General features: G+C 41.6%; 1 long non-coding RNA gene and 2 pseudogenes across 1 annotated transcript, besides 3 other annotated features; 2 read left to right on the forward strand and 1 right to left on the reverse strand.

Moving 5' to 3' along the window:
- Window positions 6,828-14,110, forward strand: ARL5AP4 (ARL5A pseudogene 4; annotated as a pseudogene).
- ACTR2P1 (ACTR2 pseudogene 1) lies at window positions 7,770-9,311 on the forward strand (annotated as a pseudogene).
- Window positions 11,622-12,308: an enhancer, noted in NCBI's record as "OCT4-NANOG-H3K27ac hESC enhancer chr22:25086666-25087352 (GRCh37/hg19 assembly coordinates)". NCBI's record gives its function as "activates a minimal SCP1, AML or CMV promoter by ChIP-STARR-seq in naive and primed H9 embryonic stem cells {active_cell/tissue: H9 hESC(naive and primed)}" and the evidence as "EXISTENCE:reporter gene assay evidence [ECO:0000049][PMID:30033119]".
- On the reverse strand, window positions 12,045-16,956 carry LOC124905092 (uncharacterized). The gene is made up of 2 exons (XR_007068025.1): window positions 16,770-16,956; window positions 12,045-12,484 (listed from the first exon to the last, which is right to left on the reverse strand). It is a non-coding gene; the product is annotated as an uncharacterized LOC124905092 (long non-coding RNA).
- Window positions 12,309-12,994: an enhancer, noted in NCBI's record as "OCT4-NANOG-H3K27ac hESC enhancer chr22:25087353-25088038 (GRCh37/hg19 assembly coordinates)". NCBI's record gives its function as "activates a minimal SCP1, AML or CMV promoter by ChIP-STARR-seq in naive and primed H9 embryonic stem cells {active_cell/tissue: H9 hESC(naive and primed)}" and the evidence as "EXISTENCE:reporter gene assay evidence [ECO:0000049][PMID:30033119]".
- Window positions 17,468-18,366: an enhancer, noted in NCBI's record as "H3K27ac-H3K4me1 hESC enhancer chr22:25092512-25093410 (GRCh37/hg19 assembly coordinates)". NCBI's record gives its function as "activates a minimal SCP1, AML or CMV promoter by ChIP-STARR-seq in naive H9 embryonic stem cells {active_cell/tissue: H9 hESC(naive)}" and the evidence as "EXISTENCE:reporter gene assay evidence [ECO:0000049][PMID:30033119]".

Genomic DNA, 18,603 nt, shown 5'->3' on the forward strand with positions numbered 1-18,603 from the left:
CACGCAATCCAGGAACCCCATTGCCTAACATCAGCATAGTGGGCCGTCAGGCCATTCCAGGATTTTCTGCTTAGCAGTGACCTGCTGTTCCGTGCTAGCTTAGGAAGCCACCTACTGCACGCTGGAGGCTGGAGGCTGGAGGCTGGAGCCTACGGGCACTGTGGCTCTCCTCATGCCTTGCCTCGCTGTGGTAGGTGGTGGCTACTGAGACTGCAGTGCCCCAGGAGCGGTAAGAGGGCCACCAGCAGGGAAGGCTGCTCCTGTCGGGCTAGAGGACGAGGACATGGGAGAGCTACTTGCCCCACGTTGGGGGCTGGGGCCTGTGACATGGCACCTCGCCTTGCTGCAGTTGGTGGCAGCCACAGAGACGGCAGCGCAGCTGAAGTGGTAGGAGGGGAGAAAATAGTTTTGGGGTAGATGGAGGGGTAAAGAGGGTGGTGAGTGCCAAAGGGAAAAAAGGATGGCGAGCAGGAGAAGGCGTTGCAGACAGAGGGTGGGGAAAAAGATGGTGGGAAAATAAGTTTTGGGGTAGATGGAGGGGGAGAAGAGGGTGGTGAGTGGCAGGAGTGGAGAGAAGGCTTTGAGAAAAGATGGGGGAAAATGTTTTTGGGTAAATGGAGGAGCAAAAGAGGGTGATGAGAGCGTGAGGGGGGAAAGAGGGTGGCCAGGGAGAGGAGGAAAAGATGGTGGGGAGAAGGGTGGTGAGCGGGAGAGTAGAGGGGGCTTTGCGAAAAGAAGGTGGGGAAAAATGGTGGGGAAGAAGTTTTGGGGTAGGTGGAGAAAGACAAAAGGGTGGCGAGAGGGAGGGGGCTGAAGGCAGTTGGGAAAAGAAGGTGGGAAGGTAATGGTGGGGGGACAAAGGTTTTGGGTAGATCTTTTTCTGATTTTTAAATAAGATTATTTGTATTTTTGCTTTTGAGGAGTCTTTCTGTATTTTGTGTATGAACCACTTGCCTGATGCATAATTTGCTAATACTTTCTTCCGTTCTCTGGATTGTTTCTTCATTCTATTGATTGCTTCCTCTGCTTTGCAGAAGCTTTTAAGTTTAATGTAATTCCATTTGTCTATTTTTGCTTTTGTTGCTTGTACTTTTGATGTCTGTTTGAAAATTCCTTGTCCTAACCAATTTCATTAAGCATTTATCCTATGTTTTCTTCTCTAGTAGTTTCATAATTTCAGGTCCTCCATTTAAATCTTTGAGTTGAATTTTGTGTATGATAAGATAACGGTCTAGATTTAGTCTTCTACATGTGGGTGTCGGGTTTTCCTAGCACAGTTTGTTGAAGATATTGTTATTCCAGAGGGTGTGTTCTTGGTACCTAGGTTGAAAATGAGTTGACTGTAAATGCGTGAATTTATTTCTAAGTTCTCTATTCTGTTTCATTTGTTTATGTCTGTCTGTCTCTCCCCTGCCCCTTTTTTGATAGTACCATGCTGTTTTGATATTATACTATGGATTTCCAGTTACTATGGATTTATAGTATATTTTGTAGTATATTTTGAAATTAGGTAGTGTGATGCTTCCAGCTTTTCTTTTTATTCAAGATTCTTTGGTCTCTCTGAGGTGTTTTGCATTTCCACATGAATTTTAGAATAGTTTTCTATTTCTATGAAGAATGTCTTCGTAATTTAACATGGATTGCATTGATTCTGTAGATCACATTGAGTGATAGAGATATTTTAACAATATTCTTCTAGTGCATGGACGTGGGATATCTTTCCATTTTCTTGTGTCTGCTTTAATATCTTTGATCTATGTTTTCTAGTTTTCATTGTAGGATCTTTCAGCTTTTTGGTTAAGTTTATCCCTAGGTATCATTATTTTGGAGGGTGGGGGTGGGTAGCTACTGTCCTGATTTCTTTCTTACGTGTTTCACTATTGGTGCATGTGTATGCTACTCATTTTTGTATGTTGATATTGTATCTTGCAACTTTACTAAATTTATTATTTCTAGTAGGTTTTTTTGTGGAATCTTTAGGGTGCTCTCTCTATGTATATATGATCATGTCACCCTGCAAACAGAAACAATTTGACTTTTTTTTCCCCCAATTTGGATGGGTTTTATTGCATTCTCCTGTCTAATTGCTCTAGCTAGGACTTCCAGTACCACGATGAATAAAAGTGGTAAAAGTAGCCACTTGTTCCTTACAGGAAGAGCTTTTAACTTTTCCCCATTGATTACGATGTTAGTTGTTGGTTTGTCATATATGGCCTTTCTTGTGCTGTGTTCCTTCTGTACTCCTTTTGAGTTGTTATCATGAAGGAATGTTGAATTTTATTTTTTTCAGCATCTGCTGAAATGATTATATGGTTTTTATTCTTGATTCGCTGAATGTGATGTATGACATTTATTTATTTGTGTTGAATCATTCTCATATTCCTCTGGTGAATCCCCAAGTATTTTGTTAGGATTTTTTGCATCTGTGTTCATCAGCGATATTTGCCTGTGGTTTTCTTTCTGTGTTGTGTCCTAGTCTAGTTTTTGTAGCAGGCTAATGCTGACCTCATAGAACAAGTTTGGAAGTACTCCTTCCTCTTCATTTTTTGGGGAATATTTTGAATTAAATTAGTATTACCTTTTTAAAAAATGTTTGGTAGAATTCAGCAATAAAACCATAATTTTTCTGTTTTTCTTTGATGGGAGATTTTTATTACTGCTTTAATTACATTGCTCATTATTAGTCTGTTCAGGTTTTTTATTATTCTAGCTTGTGAAATTGCTGCGTTCCCAGAAATTTATTCATTTCTCCTAGATTTTTCAATTTGTTTGTATATAGGTGTTTTTAGTAATCTCTTACGATCCTTTGTGTTTCTGTGTTATCAATTGTAATGTCTCCTTTTTCATCTATGATTTTACTGCAGTTTTCTTTCTTTTTTTCCTAGTCTCGTTATAGCTTGTCAATTTTTTTTTTCAAAAACCGCAGCTTTGTTCCTTTGTTTTTTTGTATTTTTTTGTTTCTATTTTTAAAATTTCTTCTCTAATCTTCATGATTTATTTCTTTCTACTAATTTTAGCATTTGATTTTTCTTGGTTTTCTCATGACTTGAAGTGTACTGTCAGCTTGGCTATTTGAGATCTTTCTACTTTTCTGATTAGGCATTTATAGCTATGCACTTCACCTCTTACAACTGCTTTTGCCGCATCCCACAGATTTTATGTTGTGTTTCTAATCTTATTTGTTTCAATGAATTTTTAATTTCCCTTATTCATTTCAATGAATTTTTTTTTTTTTTTTTTTTTTGAAACAGAGTCTCGCTCTGTGGCCCAGGCTGGAGTGCAGTGGCGCGACCTCCGCTCACTGCAAGCTCCGCCTCCCGGGTTCAAGCCATTCTCCTGCCTCAGCCTCCTGAGTAGCTGGGACTGCAGGTGCCAGCCACCACTCCCGGCTAATTTTTTGTATTTTTAGTAGAGACGGGGTTTCACCATGTTAGCCAGGATGGTCTCAATCTCCTGACCGTGTGATCCGCCCGCCTCGGCCTCATTTCAATGAATTTTTAATTTTTTCATTTATTGGTGGTTTGTGAGCATGTTTTAATTTTCATATATTTGTACAGTTTTTAAAGTTCCTGCTGTTACTGATTGCTAGTAGTATTCCACTGTGATCAGAAAAGATACTTGATATGATTTCAGTTTTTAAAAATGTGCCGTTACTTGCTTTTCGGCCTAACACATAGCCTATCCTGGAGGATAATCCATGTGCTACTGAGTAGAATGTGCATTGTGCAGTCGTGGAGTCGTGCAAAGCTGTGTACATTTCTGTTCGGTCCATTTGGTATAGAGTACAGCTTAACTGATGATTTTTTGTTGTCTGGATGATCTGCCCATTGACGATAGTGGAGTGTTGATTATAGTGGAGTGTGGAGGTACTCTACTATTATTACTAATTTTTTTTTAAGATGGAATTTTTCTCTTGTTGCCCAGGCTGGAGTGCAATGGCGCAATCTCAGCTCACTGTAACCTCCGCCTCCCAGGTTCAAGGGATTCTCGTGCCTCAGCCTCCCGAGTAACTGGGATTACAGGCATGTGCCACCTCACCCTGCTAATTTTTTGTATTTTTAGTAGACACTGGGTTTCTCCATGTTGGTCAGGCTGGTCTGGAACTCCCGACCTCAGGTGATCCACCGGCCTCGACCTCCCAAAATGCTGGGATTACAGGCGTGAGCTACCGCGCCCGGCGGGAATCTTAAAAAGTTTAATAAATGGAAGCAGGGTAGAATTGTGCTTACCAGGGACAGGGAGGTGGGAGAAAAGGGGACCTGTTGGCCCAAGAGTACAAAGTTGCAGTTATGTGATTATAGTTAATAATACTGTATACTGGAAATTTGTGAAGAGAGTGTATTTCAGGTGCTGTCATCTAACTATGTGAGAAGATGAGTTCATTAGTTTGACTGTAGTAATTATTTAACTGTGTATATGTATGTATATATACAAATACATATAGATTTTCATATATATGAATCAAAACAGGCTGTCCACTTAAATATATTCAATTTTATTTTAAACATTAAAATATGAAACAAAGAAAAAAAAGCATGCATAGTCTCACACTCAATTACCGACATATATAAGTGCACTGCTAATCAGAACAGTGAATTAAATGTCAGTTATATTTGTTTGTTTATATTGTAACCTTTCCTTTTATTTTCATTTATTTTCTATTTATAATTATGCAAATATTTAAAGAGTTCACAATGAAACTATGTATTAAATACCCTCCACATATTTTAGAAGTGATGAATGTTGCTAGTTTTACGTCATAGTCACTGTAAGAATGTTCCCTTGGGAAGTGTTATCTTCTGTTGGTTTGTATTTTAATAACATTCACCACTACCAAGAGAGAGCCTGGGTTTTTCTAATCTTTACCCACCATAAATAATGTTATGATGAATGCCTCTGAGCATATATCACTATGGGCAATTAAGCATACTTCTGACAGCTTCTCAGATTTGGAATTGCCGATCCAAAAATCAATGAACATGTTAAAATATGACAATTACTTTTCACCCTCAAATATGCTGGTAAAAATCGCGTTTTCATTAATTTTATGTAATAGTACCAGTATCAATTTTCCCACACGTCACACTACAATTAAATACTATAAATTTTATTAATTCCTATCTATATTACAGGCAATAAAATCATCTCATTGCTCTTTCAACTTGAAGTTTCTGATTACTGTAATTCCAAATGTACCGTGACATATTTATTATACGGTTTATATTATATTTTGTGAACTCTATTTTCAGTCTCCTTTACTACAAAAGGGAGTATGTGTGGAAACAAAATTGGTGTTATACAAGAGTATCTTTTCCTTGTCTAAGATCTGTTTGAAATAGGCAAGAAAAAAAATGACATATTCATTCAAACAGTACAATATCTGTGTCCGTTTCACAGTAGCAATACAATGTAAATAGAATCACACTCATATCTCCCATGACAAAACTAATGCCTTATTTACAACATTCATTTTGCATTGAAAAATCATTTTTTATTTTTTCAGCTACGTATGGTCAATTTCTCTTTGTATGTTGCATAGCTTCCAATTGCATGTAGAAGTCTTTTATTTTTCAGTCGTTTTGGGATACAGGTGTTTTTTGCTTACACGAGTAAGTTCTGTAGTGGTGATTTCTGAAATTTTGGTGCACCCGTACCTGAGTGGTGTACATTGCACCCAATATGTACTCTTTTATTCCTCACCCCCTCCTACCTTTCTCTCCGAGTCCCCAAAGTCCATTATATCATTCTTAAATGCATTTGCATCCTCATAGCTTAGCTTCCACTTACAAGTGAGAACATATGATACTTGGTTTTCCACTCCTGAGTTACTTAGAATAATGGCCTCTGGCTGCCTCCAGGTTGCTGCAAAGGCCATTATTTCATCCCATTTTATGGCTGAGTAGTATACCACTGTGTATATATACCATATTTTCTTCATCCATTCGTTGGCTGATGGGCATTTAGTTGATGGGTATGGTTGATGGGCTTCCTATTTTTGCAATTGCGAATTGTGCTACTATGAAAACATGCATATGCATCTGTCTTCCATGTAATGACCTCTTTTCCTCTGGGTAGATACCCAGTAGTGTGATTGTTGGATCGAATGGTAGTTCTACTTTGAGTTCTTTGAGAAATCTAGGAGTCATTTTAATATAGATAATTGAATTGCAGTTAATTCTCCATCCAGTTTTCCACACTGGTTACTTACTACCACCGATTTGAGGCCATTTTTCATTTATATTACTCGATCATTTTATTCAGTCACATTTCTAACAGTATATGCTGTTTCCAAAGCATATCATGTGAACAGTTTAAAATTCTCAAAGTATAATTCTTTGTTGAAGCATTTGTAAGTTTTACACAAGCCCTTATATGATCTGTTTTGATTTTTAAATCATCATCTCTTCTATTTTACTTATATTTACTTTTCTTCTTGTGAGATGTAATCTCATACAAACTTTATAGATAGGAAGATGTTGGGAAACTATCACATGGTCTGTTATGTTGTGTTATTTTAATAGGCCAAATTATTTGATGAAAAGAGAAATCTTGATAGTTTTTTAATTATGTGGGACACGGCATTATTTTATCAGAAAACTGTATGTTGAAAATATTGCATTGTTGTGTATAGATAGAGTGGCATGGATTCAATTTTGTATGCATAAATTAAATTTGTAATGTTTAAGCAGTGGATTAGAATTTTAACATGCTTTCACTTCATTTGGTCCTGTTAGGTAAGCAAGGGATCTTGTGTGTTGGAAAAAGAATTACTTTGGTGCAGCCGCCCAAGAGGAGCTTGGGGAGGACGCTGGCCCGCGAGGCTCGTCGCAGACAAGGTGGCGGCGATGTCCGGGAGCCAGGCCAGTGCCGCGGCGGCAGCGTCGGGGCCTTTCGCGCGGCAGGGCGGCCTGGGCTTCGGCCTCCCGCCGGTTCCCTGGAAGCGGGCCCGCGGCTAGCGCGGGAGCAGCAGCAGAGATGGAGGCTCCAGCGCCTCTCTCTCTTCCCCGTCCGCCTGAGCCAGGGGAGGCCAGGCGGCCCGGGTGTCTGGAGCCGGGGGTCTGCTGTCCGAGAATGAGAATTTTCTTCCCCCAGAACGTGGAGACTGTTCGATCACCAGGAGCACAAAGTTATCATTGTTGGGCTGGATAATGCAGGGAAAACTACCATTCTTTACCAGTTTTCTATGAATGAGGTTGTACATACATCTCCTATAATAGGAAGTAATGTAGAAGAGATAGTGATTAATAATACGCGTTTCCTAATGTGGGATATTGGTGGCCAAGAATCTTTTCGTTCTTCCTGGAACACTTACTATACTAACACAGAGTTGATAATAGTTGTGGACAGTACAGACACATGATTTCTGTAACTAGAGAAGAACTCTATAAAACGTTAGCGCATGAGGACCTAAGGAAAGCTGGATTGCTGAGTTTTGTTAATAAACGAGACGTTAAAGAATGCCTGACTGTAGCGGAAATCTCCCAGTTTTTGAAGCTACCTTCTATTAAAGATAACAGTTAGTGGCATATCCAGGCATGCTGTGCTCTAACTGGCAAGGGATTGTGCCAAAGACTTGAATGGACGATGTCACGACTTTAGATTACATGATCTCTTCTAACCTCATAGACTTTGTATAAATGAAGTGCTGGACTTTACCTGAAAGCTGCAAAAATTAATGGTTTAGATATATTTATAATAAACTGATTTAAACTTTTTCTATAAGAAGAAAAATTAAGACCACTTATTTGAAAAGAAAGATGGAGAGGGAGGAGGAAGAAGAGAAAACGGCCGGGCGGCGGCGGCTGTAGGTTGTGCAGCGGTAGCGGCTCTCCCCCGCGGCGGACGATGGACAGCCAGGACAGGAAGGTGGTGGTGTACAACAACAGCACCGGGCTTGTGAAGTGTGGTTATATGCAGGCTCTAACTTTCCAGAAGACATCTTCCCAGCTTTGGTTGGAAGACCTATTATCAGATCAACCACCAAAGTGGGAAACATTGAACAAGGATCTTATGGTTGGTGATGAGGCAGGTGAATTACGATCAATGTTGGAAGTTAATTACCCTATGGAAAATGGCATAGTAAGAAATTAGGATGACGTGAAAAACCTGTGGGACTACACGTTTGGACCAGAGAAACTTAATATAGATACCAGAAATTGTAAAATCTTACTCACAGAACCTCCTATGAACCCAACCAAAAACACAGAGAAGACTGTAGAGGTAATGTTTGAAACTTAGCAGTTTTCCGGTGTATATGTAGCCATCCAGACGGTTCTGACTTTGTACGCTCAAGGTTTATTGACTGGTGTAGCGGTAGACTCTGGAGATAGTGTGAGTCATATTTGCCCAGTATATGAAGGCTTTTCTCTCCCTCATCTTACCAGGAGACTGGATATTGCTGAGAGGGATGTAACTAGATACCAGGTTGCTTCTATTGCGAGGATATGCCTTCAACCACCCTGCTGATTTTGAAACGGTTTGCATGATTAAAGAAAAACTGTTACGTGGGATATAATATTGAGCAAGAGCAGAAACTGGCCTTAGAAACCAAAGTATTAGTTGAATCTTATACATTCCCAGATGGACATATCATCAAAGTTGGAGGGGAGAGATTTGAAGCACCAGAAATTTTATTTCAGCCTCACTTGATCAGTGTTGAAGGAGTTGGTGTTGCTGAATTGCTTTTGAACACAATTCAGGCAGCTGACATTGATACCTGATCTGAATCCTACAAACACATTGTGCTTTCTGGAGGGTCTACTATGTATCCTGGCCTGTCATCAAGGTTGGAACGAGAACTTAAACAGCTTTACTTAGAACGAGTTTTAAAGGGTGATGTGGAAAAACTTTTTAAATTTAAGATCCGCATCGAAGACCTACCCCTCAGAAAGCACATGGGTGGTGCAGTTCTAGCAGATACCATGAAAGACAAAGACAACTTTTGGATGACCCGACAAGAGTACCAAGAAAGGGGTGTCCGTGTGCTAGAGAAACTTGGTGTGACTGTTCGATAAACTCCAAAGCTTGTTCCCATCACACCCGTAATGCTTTCTTTTTTCCTTTATTGCCAATCTTTTGAACTCATTCAACGCCTGGACATGGAAGAGGCCTCTGTGTGCCTTTTGACTGGAAAGGTCAAGTTTTATTCTGGTGTCTTGAGGAAGCTTTGTTAAATTTTTGTTAATGTGGGTAAATCTGAATTTAGTTCAACTGCTTCCCTACATAGACAAGCGGGCTAAGGGTCCTGTCTGCTGCTTTGTTTCTTCTAAGTAGGCATTTAGATCATTCCTGTAGGCTTCCTATTTTCACTTTGCTGCTCTAATGCCGCTAGTTGTAGTCTTTAGCACGCTAGGTGGTATGCCTTTATTAGCATAATGAAAAGACTTTAACAGGAGCTTTTACGTATTACTGGGATGGGGGGTGGTTCGGGATGGGTGGGCAGCTGCTGAACCCTTCAGGGCATTTCCTCTGTAGTATGGCACTTTCATCTGTAGCTTTAAGTACCTTAAAGCGTCTCCTGTGAACATCTTAGGGAAATGTTAGGTTCAGAACTAAAGTGTTTTGGGTGGTTTTTGTTGGGGTGGTGGTGGGGGTAACAGTGGGCGGTCTTCTGATTTTTATTTTTGAGGTTTTCTCACTGGAGTACGTAGAGGAACTTTATTTACAGTGCTTTGATTTGGCAGGTTTTCTTCTACTTGTGCTCTGCCTGGAGCTGTTTTCATATGATATAAAAAGCACAAGTGTAGTATTCCATTACTATGGGGCTTAGGGATTTATTTGTTTTTTAAAATCAACTATGTTAGCTGGGACTAGACTCCCTACAATCTATCAATGGAAAAGTAACATTTAAAAACCCTTTTGGTAATTCAAATTACAGATTTAAAAGTGCTTAAGATCTGGTGTTTTGTTAATGCTTCTGTTTATTCCAGAAGCATTAAGGTAACCCATTGCCAAGTATCATTCTTGCAAATTATTCTTTTATATAACTGACCAGTGCTTAATAAAACAAGCAGGTACTTACAAATAATTACTAGCAGTAGGTTATAATTGGTTTAAAAATAACATTGGAATACCATACTTGTTGCTAATTGGGTAATTTTCATTAGTTTTTTTGTTTGTTTGTTTTGATTTGAAAACTGGAAGTAGAGTAACATTTGACTGTATTAAAATGTTGACCAAAAAATCAAGATTTAAAATTTTTATTTGTACTAAAAAACTAATCATAACTGTTAATTCTCAGCCATCTTTGAAGTTTGAAAGAAGAGTCTTTGGTATTTTCTAAATGTTAGCGGACTTTCCTGCCAGTGTCAGAAAATCCTATTTATGAACCCTGTCGGTATTCCTTGGTATCTGAAAAAAATATCAAATAGTACCCATAGATGATTTATTTCTAAGTTTGAAAAATAAAAAGAAATTGTATCACACTAATTACAAAATACAGGTTCTGGAAAAAATATTTTTCTTCATTTTAAAACTTTTGTTAACTAATAATGGCTTTGAAAGAAGAGGCTTAATTTGGGGGTGACTAAAATCAAAGAAATTATTGACTTGAGGGTCTCTGTTTTGTAGGAATACATAATTAGCTTAAATAAACAGCAAAAGGTTAGTTTTAATTATGTAGCTTCTGTTAATATTGTGTTTTTTGTCTGTCTTACCTCAATTTGAACAGATAAGTTTGCCTGCATGTTGGACATGCCTCAGAACACATGAATAGCCTGTACTAGATCTTGGGAATGTGGATTTTAGAGTCACTTTGCAATAAGTTCTTACATAAATACCTCCAACCTTTTGAAAATGGAGCTTGTTAAAGGACGCCTATGTAAGGCCAGTGCCTACTGGCAGTTGGGTTCGGGGAAATGGGATTGACTTGGCCTTTGGTCCTTTGATCATAATTTTAAAATATGGGAGTAGAAAACAACAAAGAATGGAATGGACTCTTAAAACAATGAAAGAGCATTTATCATTTGTCTCTTGAATGTAGAATTTGTTGTTTTAATAATTCTGCTGGTAAATGTGACGGTTAAAATGGTGTATTATGTATACATATTGTAATTTAGAAATTCCATTTTATAATGTTACTATTCCAAGGTGAAATAATGCATTTAAATTTGATATTTGGGTGGAGTATTACATTTAACTGGAGTTGTTGTCAAGTATGAATCCCTCAGGAAAAAAAAAATCTGTTTTAAAAAGCAATCTGATTCTTAGCTCTTGAAACTATTGTTACTTAAATTTCCAGTAATTAAAAATTATAAATTTTTAAATTAGACTTGCCAATACTTTGATCTTTGAGAAGGGTTTCTTAGAAATACATTTAGTAATGTCCCCAAGAATTAGTCTTACATTGAAACTTTTTTCTTTAAAACATGGTATTGGTTGTTCACTTTTACACAGTTCTGAGTACTGTTAATATCTGGAAAGTATCTTGAGATAGTGGAAAGCTAAACAGTCTAAATTTAACATGAAATACTTCTTTTTGATTCAGAAAATAAAATCAGATTTTTTCAAAGTCAAAGAAAAAGAAAACAAAGATGAAGTCTCACCTTCCAATTTGCTTTCTCATTAGTTTTATCCAAAGTAAGTTATTAAAGCTGTGATTGACATTTTTCTCTTAATGAATCCTCTCAGGACATTGTGTAGCCTGTGGTAAGTACAAAGGGAGAGGAAGACATTTTGAATTTTAAGAATTTTATTATCAGCATAACTCTCCCGAGTTGAATGTTGTTTTCTTCTTGTTCCATTAAGTCAAAATACAAATCAGCAGAGATACTCAGTTTTCAATATTTTAAAATGTGATGTTACTTATGAAAAGTATATTAGTTAAGGTTGTGCGTGTATTTTGTATGTACCTCAAGTTCAAGTTAATGGCATTGATTTATGTTCTAAAGAAAAACAAATAACAAATATTAATAATATCCTTCATTATAACCATAATGAGATAAGAATTGGCATTGGTGTTCAGTGCCATTTTATATTTTCTCCCTATGTTCTCTGTATTGTACTAACTTTCATGCGCGTCCGTGTGAAGAGACCACCAAACAGGCTTTGTGTGAGCAACATGGCTGTTTATTTCACCTGGGTGCAGACGGGCTGAGTCCGAAAAGAGAGTCAGCCAAGGGAGATAAGTTTGGGGCCGTTTTATAGGATTTGGGTAGGTAAAGGAAAATTACAGTCAAAGGGGGTTTGTTCTCTGGCGGGCAGGAGTGGGGGTTGCAAGGTGCTCGGTGGGGGTGCTTTTTGAGCCAGGATGAGCCAGGAAAAGGACTTTCACAAGGTAATGTCATCAGTTAAGGCAAGGGCCGGCCATTTGCACTTCTTTTGTGGTGGAATGTCATCAGTTAAGGTGGGGCAGGGCATAGTCACTTCTTTTGTGATTCTTCAGTTACTTCAGGCCTTCTGGGCGTATACGTGCAAGTCACAGGGGATGCGATGGCTTGGCTTGGGCTCAGAGGCCTGACACTAACCAACCTCCCAAATCATTGAGCTGTTTGTTAAAAAGAAAAAAAAGGAAAAGGAAAAAGCATGACATTGTGTATCGATTTTTTTGTTGTTGACCAAAATCACACACATGGAAACATGTAATTCAACAGAGTGGGATAGCGATCAGATTCTTGGCTTAGTATTACTAATGGGCAGGATTTTACAACGAGCAACTATCAGATTATTCCTTTCAGTGATTCTTATGGCATCTAAATTACTGAATAAATTATTAATCAGTGAATCAAATTGATTAAAATTATTAAATGAATGCTCAGCATTAGTTGAAAACTGTTGTGTGAAACATGTCTACCCAGAAAAGTAACATTCTATAAATACTATTAAACAACTTAGCTATATTATTTTTAGGTATTAAGTTATATGTCAAGCAGTTAAAGTGAATTTCAGAGTAAAAGTAAGGCATGTTTCTGAGCAACATTGATAATTCCTTAATTTGCAAATTTCTTCTTTCTTACTTGGATGCTTGGAATATAGTGTGAGATTTTTTATTTCTAAATTTTGTTGTATCTTCTATTACATAACTGCATTGTTTGACAATTATAAAATGCAAGTGTTTTTTGAATGATTTTAAGAATTTGGCTTAAAAACTGATTGATACAATGTATTATTTGTACTAAGAAGTAACTTGACCCAAAACACCCTTTATGTTTGCTTAGGGTATTTTTCTTCAATGCCTGAAAGTTAAAGGTATTCCTGTCACAACTGTAAACAAACTTACCCTAAATGTGTTAAAACATATTCTTGGGTACTCTATTTGTGTATCTTTCGTGCCTTGAAAATCTGAAGGTTAATCCAAACTCACATGTTTTAGCGTATTTGAGAAAAAAAAACTACTTTTAATATCAGCCTTTTAAATTTCATGAAGATTTTGGTGAGGAATAATAGTATATACTTTATTGACAAAACTTGGAAAGTTTCTTTCTATAAAATGGGAAATACTCAATATCTAAACCCAGGTCAGTCATGGGAGATCAGTATTTATTTAACGTTGGATGTTTTGTGTTTTATATTTATAATGTTCAAAAATGCAAGCATAACATTTAATCTTTGTCCACATGGTTTTACAAAAGTAAATCTTAAATTACCTCGCTTTTCTCATATGTTCTCATACTTTCTCAAATCACTATAAAGAATTACTTGTTATCTATTAAAAATCCCCTTCACTCAAGTCTGTATTATGGTTTCACCAAATATTCTGTGATGTAGCCCAGAAAATCCACACCTTTTGTACTTTTTAATTTGAATAATCATGTGCTTAGTCCCTTGGATTGCTGCCACATCAGTTTAACATGAAGCACATTCCCATGTCATCAAGGTGTTGGCTCAGATTTATTCTTAATTGGATGGTTAAAGCATACACTACCTTGTTACAGTTGGTTTAGTGTAGTGGATTATTGACATGACACCATGAGAACATGTGGAATTTTATACCACATTTATAAAACATGATTTTGTTTTCTACCCTTCAAGGTAAACATGAAAAGTAAGGTGGTATCTGTGTACTTGTACATAAATCCAAAATTATAGTTGGGAAAAAAATTTATATATGAAAATGTCAAAAAAATTACTTTGTTGCAAGAAAGAAGGTTAATTGATTATTAGGACTTTTGATAAGTTAGCAAATCGGATACTGTTTTCAAATCTTAGATTCAGTATTGGGCTAACAATAGTTCTGTTTTAAGGTTTCTATGAGGACTAAATGAGAGAACTTACTAAAAAATGCATTCAATATGTGTTTATTATGTCATTATCTCGTTACTCCCTTTTTAGGGTTTATGATTCAAGTCTCATAGAAGTTTAAATCACTTGTCAAATGTAACCTATTTCAGAATCACCAAGGACTTAACGCTTTTTATTCTAAAAACTGTTTTGTAAAATGTGGAATAAATGACCAGTGCCATTATTCAGTCCAATTTGTTTATTTTACATCAAAGAAATCTGAGTCACAGAAGGCTTACTGTATCAGCCCATGGCCAGGCCATTAGGTTTTGAGTAGGACGGAAATTGTGATGATACATACTTTCATATTTTGAGATGTATTGATATTGTGAGTACAAAAATGATGATTTGATAACAGCATAGAGTGTGGTAATCCAGCAAAATACATTATATTTTGAAATGTGAAGAATATTACTGATTTTGAGTTTGTGTTTTGTTTTAATCTATGAGAAATATTGCATCTCACATTTGACATGTTTAAAAATGTACGCATATCTCGCTGGGTGCAGTGACTCAGGCCTGTAATCCCAGCACTTTGGGAGGCTGAGGCGGGCAGATCACGAGGTCAGGAGATCGAGACCATCCTGACTAACATGGTGAAACCCCGTCTCTACTAAAAATACAAAAAAAACAAATTAGCTTGGTGTCCTCCATGCAAAGCCTGTGGTGGGTCTTGCTCTGGGACTAGTTGAGCAGCATTGCACTCGTGTTGGATGCGGGAGTTTCATGGTTTGTTCTTTCGGTATGTCTTTGGCCTTCTATTAAGAGTTCCTTGACTTGAGAATGATTGAGAAGTGTACTTTTCAGTTTCCCAAGTACATATTTTTGGGGGAGAGGACTGTGTTGCATTTGGCCAGAGAATATGTGACCTTTCGGTTGTTGAGGGACTGGTGTGTACCCCTGGGGGCTCGGTATCCACTTGGAGGTTGGGTGTCCGTGTGGAACCTGATGTACCTGTGGACCTGGTTGCCCACATGGGTCCTGGTGTCCACCTGGAGCCTGATGTTTCCCAGGGGCCTGGGTATCCACTGGGGTCCCGATGTTCATCTAGGAGCTGGTGTTCACCTAGGCCCTGATAGTCACCTGGGGGCTGGGTATGTACCTGAGGCCTCATGTCCACCTGTGCTGTAGGTATCTATGCATGGGCTGTGTGCCAACCTGGTGCCTCATGTCCTCCTATGGATTAGATACCCAACTAGGGTTTGGTGTTTACCTGGAACCTGATATCCAATGGGGCCCAAATTCTCCACCTGGGGACTGGTGTCTGGATGGAGTCTTACAGCTACCCTGGGGTGTGGTGTCCTCTTGAGGTGTGGCTGTGAACATGGGGCCTAAAGTCTACTTAGAGTTCAGTGTCTACCTGGAGCCTAATGTGACCTGGGGCCCTATGTCAACCTGGGGCTTGGTATTTAGGTCGGGTTCGGGCGACCACCCAGGGATTGATCTCAGCTGGGGCCTGATGTTTTCTTAGCGCCTGGTGTTCACCTGAGGCCTGGGTGTCAACTTGGGACTGGATAGCCAACTGAGGCCTGAGTGTTTCTTGGTGACTGAGGACTTCCTGGGACCCATATTTCCTGGACCCGGATTTTCACATGGAGCCTGATGTCTGGAGTTCTGAGTTCTAGGTGTTTACTTGGGACCCAGATGTGCACCTTGGCAGAGCCTCCGTAACAAAGGCCTAGGGCCACCAGGAGGCTGTGAAAAAGAAGCAGGGCGTCTCTTTCCCCGGACACTTGAGAGTTTGTCAGAGCCTTCAGCGACAGAGCAGGTGCCCTGGACATAGGAACCCAGGCACCTGGGCACTGACATCACCTCAAGGGCCACTTGTGCCCCAGGCTATAGAGTCTCCTGAGCCACCAGGGGGTGCGCGGAGTGGGGAGGGCATTTGTTCACGTGCAGCGGCCTCTTGCCACTGCCATCTGTCTCCACAGCTAAGTTGCGGGACCTGTGGGAAGGAGGGGGAGGGCAAAGGTCATTGTCACACCACCTGGGCCGCAGGTGACAGGCAAGCTCCCACTGAGGCTGCATGGAAGTCCCCACAACCCTGGTGGAGGGTAGGTTCCAAGGTGCAGCCCCAGCCCTACCCCTAGCCTGGGGTGAACACCTGGGCCTGGGAGGGGCAGCAGTTTATGGCGCTGCTGTGTCCCAAGGTCTCAGGAAGCCTGGGGCTCCTTGTAGGTGGAGAAATCAAAACGATATGCTTGAGTTTTCAGAATAGCCCAGGGCTTGCCCCAAGTTCTCGAATAAAGGTAGTTACCCCGTTCCAAGACAGAGCTAATCAGGGCTGAGAGGAATGGAGGCGGGAAGGCACCAGCACGCAGAGGCCCCCAAATCCCCAGCAAGGCCCCCTTACTCAGGCCTCTGCCCCAGAGCCAGGGTCTCCCAGCCACCTCCGATGTAAGCGCAGGCTCCTGACCCAGCGCAGGCTCCTGCCCTCGCCCTGCAGTCCCACCCCGTCCTCCAGGCCGGCCCTCCTGCACCATTCTTGCCCCTGACATTTCTTTTCCAAGCAACAACCAGAAATATTCCTTTAAAGTGAAAGCAGATCTTACCATCTCATCTTGTTTCACGCCACCTCACCCTGGGTTCCCATCATTTCCCAGTAATGCCCAAAGTCCTGGGCCCCTGGCTTGGGCACCTCGAGACCAGTGAGTGTAGGATGCTGGCTGCCCTCGGCTAGGCTGGCCATGCTCTGCTCAGCCAAGCCCCTGTCCTTCCTGCAGGTGCCAGTCCGTCCCTGCCTGGCCAGCACCCCCGTGCCCACGGGCCCCTCCCTCCCTCTGGGGTGCCTGACTCCCCTCCCCAACCAGCTTTGCAGCCCTGCCAGAGCCACTACTAACACCCTCCTCCTCCTCTTCCTCCTCCTTCCCATTCCTCCTCCTCCTCCCCCACCCCTTTCTCCTCCTCCACCCCCTTCTCTCCCTCCTCCCCCTCTTCCCCCTCCCCCCGGCTTCCTGGCATTTGGTTTCAGTGCCGTGTCATTTAGAGTAGCAAGAGTTGCTGCAGCTGTTAAGTCTACTGTGATAAAGTCACCATGGTCTCCCTGGTCCTGGGAGCAGCTCTGTGGGTCATTCCTGACTTCATATTCAAAGCCTGATTAAGTCAGTGACCATGGAGAGAGCTCGGCTTCATGGCCAACAACATCCAGAGCCTCCTTGGGGCTTCCCAGAGGTGCTCAGACCCTCAGGGGCAGCTCTTTGAAGCCTGACTCACAGGAAAGGGCAGGGTCCCCTCAGGTCCCGGGAAGGGGAAAGGCAGAGCAGTGGTCAGTGAGCCGCATCCCAGAGGCCTCCGCATCAAGGGGCCTCAGCTGCCCTCTTTCCACCTGGCGGCTCAAGGAGCAAGCCCTGGGCCAGGAGCCCCTGCCAGGAGGCCTTCCCTCCCACCCACTCCTGGGCAGCCCCACATGGGCCAGGGACTCCACACGTGCTGCCAGGGCCCCTGAGGCCCAGGGATAGGAGCTGGCAGGCAGATATGCTCTGGCCACCTTGTGCTGACACAGAGATGTGACGGAGGAGGTTGGGATGTCATTGTGTGACTAGGGAACAGGCGGGCAGCACGTGACCCCCTGCCTGGGACAGGGAGCTCCTGGGCCTCTGGCTTGGGCATATGAAGAGCAGTCATGAAGTCAGCCCCAGGACCTTCATGCCGAGGCTCGGCTACAGCCAGGCAAAAGCCATCCCCAAGGGGGACCCACTCTCTATGCTAAGGCAGGGGCAGCAGCCAGGGCCCTGCCCAGGGCAGAAACCCTCATGGCAAGGAACAGCAGGCAGTGGGGACCGGGCCTCCTCCAGGCTCCCACCTCCTCCATTCTCGGGAGCACTGCTGGGACTGGCTTCGCCATGCACTCAGACGCCTCCGTCCTCCCTGGGCCTCTCACGGTTAGGCCAGCACCACTCCCCATGGCCTTCATTTGGGGTGGTGGCCTCAGCGTCTCTCCCCAGAGTAGAGCCCATGGCCCTTGTGACAGGAAGGTAAGTTAGGAAGGCAGATCTCTAAGCAGTTCCCTGCACTAGAGTCTGCGTGACTGGTCACTCCCAGCCAGGCAGGCCATTCTGCAGCATGGACATCAGACCGGGGCTTGCAAGCCCAGCTCTATCCTCCTGGCTCAGGCCCCTCTGAAGGCACAGAGCAGCAGAGCTGGGTGGGTGTCTTCATTACACAACCCTGTGAGGACAGGAGGGAACCCTGCTTACTTCCCAGAGCTGGAGCAGGGCCCCTGCAGACAGCAGCCGCCAGCAGTTAAGAGAGGTGCAGCCTTTGCAGGGCAAGGGACTCAGGCTCCTAAGGACACAGGTGCCCAAGACCACTTTGGGAAAGGAATTTTTTTCATACCAGAGGCACCTGAGAGGAAAGCCCCATTGTGAAACCAAGTCCCCACCCAAA

Source organism: Homo sapiens, chromosome 22 (genome assembly GCF_000001405.40).
Source record: "Homo sapiens chromosome 22, GRCh38.p14 Primary Assembly".
Classification (NCBI taxonomy): domain Eukaryota; kingdom Metazoa; phylum Chordata; class Mammalia; order Primates; family Hominidae; genus Homo; species Homo sapiens.